This window comes from Homo sapiens, chromosome 9, assembly GCF_000001405.40.
Source record: "Homo sapiens chromosome 9, GRCh38.p14 Primary Assembly".
In the NCBI taxonomy this organism is placed as follows: domain Eukaryota; kingdom Metazoa; phylum Chordata; class Mammalia; order Primates; family Hominidae; genus Homo; species Homo sapiens.
In genome coordinates this window covers 136170398-136176470 of record NC_000009.12, presented here as the reverse complement: position 1 = coordinate 136176470, position 6073 = coordinate 136170398, and the positions used below count along the sequence as shown (strand labels likewise).

At 59.3% G+C, this 6073-nt stretch overlaps 1 annotated feature.

Annotated features, from left to right (window-relative positions):
• Positions 1-834: an enhancer, noted in NCBI's record as "H3K4me1 hESC enhancer chr9:139067483-139068316 (GRCh37/hg19 assembly coordinates)". NCBI's record gives its function as "activates a minimal SCP1, AML or CMV promoter by ChIP-STARR-seq in primed H9 embryonic stem cells {active_cell/tissue: H9 hESC(primed)}" and the evidence as "EXISTENCE:reporter gene assay evidence [ECO:0000049][PMID:30033119]".

Genomic DNA, 6073 nt, shown 5'->3' with positions numbered 1-6073 from the left:
TGAACCTGGGAGGCAGAGGTTGCAGTGAGCCGAGATGGCTCAAAAAAAAAAAAAAAAAAAAAAAAAAAAAGGTTGGAGGTTGGTGCCCAGGACAGCCTGGCCCTGGGCAGAAGGTCTCCTGGTGCCCTCTCAGACCAAGAGGAGCGAGAGAAACCCACATCCCAGGTCCAAGGTTGTGGCCTTTCCACAGACGGCACTCTTCATGGCTGGCACCCCACAGAATCACTCAGGACGTTAAGTCCCACCTCCAGGCCCCTCTCATTTAATTTACTGCAAATCTGTGTCAGAAACCAAGAAGAATGAGGTCTGCATTTTGGAACAAAAGATTTACAGCCCTGGCTAACACTTGATCCCAGGGAAAGTGCCCAAGAAATTGCTCTGCTTGGAACAAAATCTCGCAGAGCCTGGGAAAAGCGGGGGCCTTGGCCCTGTAGCCAAAGTCAACCCGGCTGAGCCTGTGGCTCTGGTTTCAGGGCGGTGGGGTTGGGCTGGGGTCCAGGGAGCCCACATTCCTGCCCAGGGAAGGGGCTTAGGCGCTGGCATCAGAGACAAAAGCCCTAACCCTGAGCTTCCTCAGACAGGGTTGCAAAGCCATTAGGCTGATGAATGAAATCGTTTCCAAAGCTCTCAGCCCTTTTTGGCTGATTGCATTCGGGAGAGCCCCTCCTCGAAGGCCCCTCGGAAGTCCCATCTATTTATTCAATTTAAGTTTTGGTTGGGAGGGGTGGGGAGCCACCTCCAGGTCACCCCAGGCTAAGGAGGACCAGCCTGGGAACGGGAAGGCTGATGGACGTTTAATTGCTGTCTGGTGTGAGCCCAAGAGTTTAGCATCAGTTCTCACTCGCTCAGAACAAAGGCCTAAGCCCTCCTCTGTCATGTTGAGCTCAGGGAGGAAAAGGAGTCAGAAAGTGGAAGTGGTCCCGGAGAGGATCAGGAATGCGTTGGGTTCCAACTCCTGAGTTCACCCCCAGAGAGCTGCCCCAGCTGAGGGAGGGTCTGTCCAGGTCCCTGGAGTCCAGGCCCCTGCATGGCTGCCTCGAGGTGGTCAGGAAGGCTGGACTGCAGCACCGCCCAGGCCAGCTGGGGGGCACCCTGGCCAGGGCTTTCTGAGCTGTTCTGAGCCATAGGGATAGGCCTGAGTGAGAGGAGCCACGGAGAACATGGGGAGCAGGTGCAGAGAGAGGACCCAGCAGGCTCCACCCTGGCCCCTGGCCCCTGTTCACAGCTGTTACCTTGCTCATCCTGGGTATCATCAGCCAGGCCTGCCCAGCCCACGGGGGCTCCAGGTTGGCAGCAGGTTAGCAGCTGGGGACAGCCAATGTCCCTGCTGTGCACAAAACTCTCCCCTAGGGCAGAGGCTCTCCTCCCAGTTCTCCACCCCTCCTGCCCCAGCCCCTCTAGCCCAGCCCAGAAATCCCAGACACCCCAGAGACTCCAGACACCCGAGATACTCCAGACACCCCAGACACCCCAGACACTCCAGATACTCCAGACACTCCAGATACCCCAGACACCCTAGATACTCCAGACACCCCAGACACCCCAGATACTCCAGACACTCCAGATACTTGACACCCCAGATACTCCAGACACCCCAGACACTCCAGACATCCCAGATACTCCAGACACTCCAGATACTCGACACCCCAGATACTCCAGACACCCCAGACACCCTAGATACTCCAGACACCCCAGACACTCCAGACACCCCAGACACCCCAGATACTCAGACACCCCAGATACTCCAGACACCCCAGACACCCCAGATACTCCAGACACTCGACACCCTAGATACTCCAGACACCCCAGATACTCCAGACACCCCAGACACCCCAGATACTCCAGACACCCCAGACACTCCAGATACTCAGACACCCCAGATACTCCAGACACCCCAGACACCCCAGATACTCCAGACACCCCAGACACCCTAGATACTCCAGACACCCCAGATACTCCAGATACCCCAGACACCCCAGATACTCCAGACACCCCAGACACTCCAGATACTCAGACACCCCAGATACTCCAGACACCCCAGACACCCCAGATACTCCAGACACCCCAGACACCCTAGATACTCCAGACACCCCAGACACCCCAGATACTCCAGACACCCCAGACACTCGATACTCCAGACACCCCAGATACTCCAGACACCCCAGACACTCCAGACACCCCAGATACTCCAGACACTCCAGACACCCCAGACACCCTAGATACTCCAGACACTCCAGACACCCCAGATACTCCAGACACCCCAGATACTCCAGACACTCCAGACACCCCAGACACCCTAGATACTCCAGACACTCCAGACACCCCAGAGACTCCAGATACTCCAGACACCCCAGATACTCCAGACACCCCAGATACTCCAGACACCCCAGACACTTGCTCCTTTCTGAGTCTGCAGCCTCAGGGCCTTTGAGCCTGCTGTCTCCCAGCTGAACCCTCTTCTCCTCCTGCTCCCTGAGACCCTGCCCCAGGCCTCCCTGATGTGGGGTCAGTGCCTGTGACCTGCCTGGACCCCTTCTGTGTGGCCCACCTTGGGTGGAGTCACTCGAGCGTGCCGGGCCTGGGCTGTGGGGCCGGGTCCCATGGGGTCACAGTGGAAGATGCTGCGGCAGGGAAAGGGCTGAGGAGCTGAGCAGAGCTGCTGCAGATGGGAAGGCAGCGCTGGCTCGGGGGCGACAAGGAGCAGGGATGCGCGGCCTCGGCCACACACCCGGGTCTGTGTCAGGGTCTCCTGGGGCTGCTGTAACAGAGGTCTACAAACTAGGGGCTTAAAACAGCAGGACATGGATACTCTCCCCGTTCCGGAGGCCAGACAGGACATGGATCCTCTCCCCGTTCCGGAGGCCATAGTCGGAAACCAGGTGTCACAGGGACCCCTTTGAGGCTCCCTCCGAGGCTCCAGGGGGGATCCTTCCTGCCTCTTCCAGCTTCTGATGCCCCCGGCATTCCTTCGCTTGTGGCCGCATTGCTCCGTCTGTACCTCTGTCTTCACATGGCCCCTTCCTTCTGTGTCCCTCTGCCTTTCGAAGGGCACCTGCCATTAGATTTAGGTTTTACTCTAATCCAGGAGGATCTCATCTCAAAATGTTTATCTTAATCACCTCTTCAAAGACCTTTCCCAGATGTGGTCAACTCCCAGGATGCAGAGGGGCTAGGACTTGAACACACCTTTTCTGGGGGCACATCCAGCCCACTGCATCCTGGGTCTGCTGCTCCTGGGCTGACAGTGAGCTGGGGTGAAGCCCACTCCCCAGAGCCTCCAGGGTCTCACGTGTCCTCCCTCGGTGGAAAGTGGGCCGCAGCACTGTTGCCACTGTCACATGGGCCTCAGCTCTACTCTATGGGCCTCCTGCATGGGCCTCCAGGGAAGGCTCTAAGACTGTGGAATTCAGAGCAATTGCTGTCTCCAAGGAAGCCTGTAAAACTCTGGAATTCAGAGCAATTCCTCCTGACAGCCAGGTGGGCCAAGAACCTGGAGGACTCCAGGGGCGAACTGACAGCTGCATTTCCTGCTCTCCAAAGGGAAGCATTTTGTCCTCAGAGGGATGTCTCTAAGTGTCCACCAGGTGCACCTGTGCCCGGCTGCAGAGTAGCACCTGCTCCAGGTGAGTTTCGGGCTCTTTGAGCTGTCCAGGCCTCAGGAAACCACAGATGGGAGGAATGGATGATCTCGGTCTTCAGTAATGAACCCAGCAGGGTTCACGGCCGCCTCTCCTGTTATCCGAGGGGGCTGGAGGCAGTGCCTGTGTCTGCCCCAGCCCATGGCCTGACAGGCCACGCTGGCCGCTCACCTGCACCTCCTGGGGTGCGTCAGGCGCTGGGTGTGAGCAGTGGAGTGAAAAACCTGCTCAGCCACAGCGCGTCGACCTCACCAGGGCTGCGGCACACCAGAAAGAAGGACTTCCACCCCTGCCCTGACCCACACACTCTTTGCAAGTTCAGAGGCTACCTGGTCACTATGGAGCAAGGCCAGGCCGACACCTCAATGGCCTCCCTCCCCACAGTGCCAGCCCTCAATGGCCTCCCTCCCCACAGTGCCAGCGTATATGCGAGGGTCCCATCCCCGACTCGCACACCCTCAGGCTTATACATGGGGCTCCCTCATCAGACACTGTTATCAACGACCACAGAGCCCCAAGAGAAGCAGGGACCCCAGACATCTTAGCGGATTCTTATAACGATCTGTTCCCTGGGACACCAGCCCCATTTACAGATGAGTAAACTGAGCCTCTTGGGGTGATGCCACTTGCTAGAACTGCTCACACAGCAACAGGGGAGTCAGGACCAAGGCCACGCCAAGGGCCTTGATGTCAAAGGCTGTGCTTCTCCCTCTCACCCTGTCTCTCACACCCAGCACAGTGGGAGCCCCTGGAGTGTCCAACATCTCCTCCGAGACCACTGCCAGCCTCCTCAGAACAGCCTCTGAAGCTCAGACTGGGAGGCAGATTCCAGAGGTCCCCTGAGCACCCCTCACAACGGGAAGGGACCACCCTCTGCCCAGCTGTGGCTCTGTCCCAGGGCAGGGGTGGGGCCCATGGGCCCTGTTGCAGCCATGGTGAGGCTCTGCCAAGAACCTTGGGTGCCAATCCATGGGCTGGGAGCTTTCTCGTTGACCAGGGAGGCAGGCCAGTCCAAGGGGCTCCTGGGTGGTGTCAAATTGCATGGAATGGAAATTAGACCTCAAGCAGCCTCTGCCTCTGAGACGGGAGATTCTTTGTTTGCTCTTAGTGGGTAAATTCCAGCCCCTTGGCCTCTCCCCTGCGATTCTGCTGACTTAATTTGGGCTTTTGTCTGGGGCGGCCCCCGGAGGGGATTACCCGAGGGTCCTATTACAGTTCCCAAGTCTGGCCCTGCTAATGAGTTCAGGGGCAGGTGGCAAGGTGAGCTCCAGGGTGTTTCCATGTCACCCTGGGAACAGCATCTGCAGGGCTTGGCCCAGGTGCTGAGAGCGCTTCCTGGGTGCCGGCTGAGCAGACACAGGGCTGGGTTGGCCATGGCCAGGAGAGCCAGGTGACCACACAGGCAGTGCCCCTGGGTTACAGGGCTGACAGACCAGCAGACAGGCGGGCAAACAAGCCACATACCAGGAAGAGACTTTGACCTGGTTATGAGGGCTCTGAAGAAAAGGAGGTGGGAAGAGACGAGAGAGGGCCTGTCTGGGGCAGAGACGTGGGCCAGGGAGGGCCTCCCCTGGGTGGGGGACATTTAAACGGAAGCTTTGATGCCTCACTGGAACCACCCCTGTGTGGGTCACTGAAGAGGCCTTGCAGCCACAGAACACAGCAAGTGCTAAGGCCCTGAGGCTGGCAGGAGCCGTCGTGCCCAGGAGTGGGAAGGAGGCTGCCACATGGAGGAGACAGAGGCGCCCAGAACACAGGGGGATGGGTGGGAGCTGGCGGGAGAGGACAGGGTCTGAGGCTCGGTGGGGACCTAAGTAGAAGGGGCTAGGCAGGGAGTGACCTCATCTGATTGGCTGTGTCACCCAGGCCCGTGGGGAAGATGGATGGGGCAGAAAGGGGCATCCACAGGATCTGCAGGGGTCCCAGGGCCATGTCAGCATGGGGCCACCAGGTGGGAGGGGAGCTGCCCTGGGGCCAGTGTGGGGTCCTCTGTGGCTGACCAGAGGGTGGGCGGGCAGCCTCTGCAATGAGATGGGGCTGTAGGGTATGCCTGAGCCCAGGTGCCAGCCAGGGGGCAGCACAGGCCCCCAGCGATGGGGGGACTGGGCTGCGCCAGGTGGGCTCCACTTCACAGAAGAGGAAACGGAGGGTCAGGGAGGGTCAGAGGCAGTGCCCTGGTGACACAGCAGGGGGGCCCAGCCAGGATCAAACCCCTGCCCGGGATGCCAACCTGCCCTAGTGACCACCAGTGCTGGGGCCCACCTCTCTGGGGGTTCCCGATCTGGGTTGGCACCCCTGCCCCTGCTGGGTCTACAGAGGGGAGCTCAGCCCGGGCACAGCCGGGTCCCCCATCGCTGGGCGGCCTCTACTGCCCCCTGGCTGCCACTCTGGCCCAAGCAGCATCAACTCGACCAACTATAACCTCGAGACTGTCT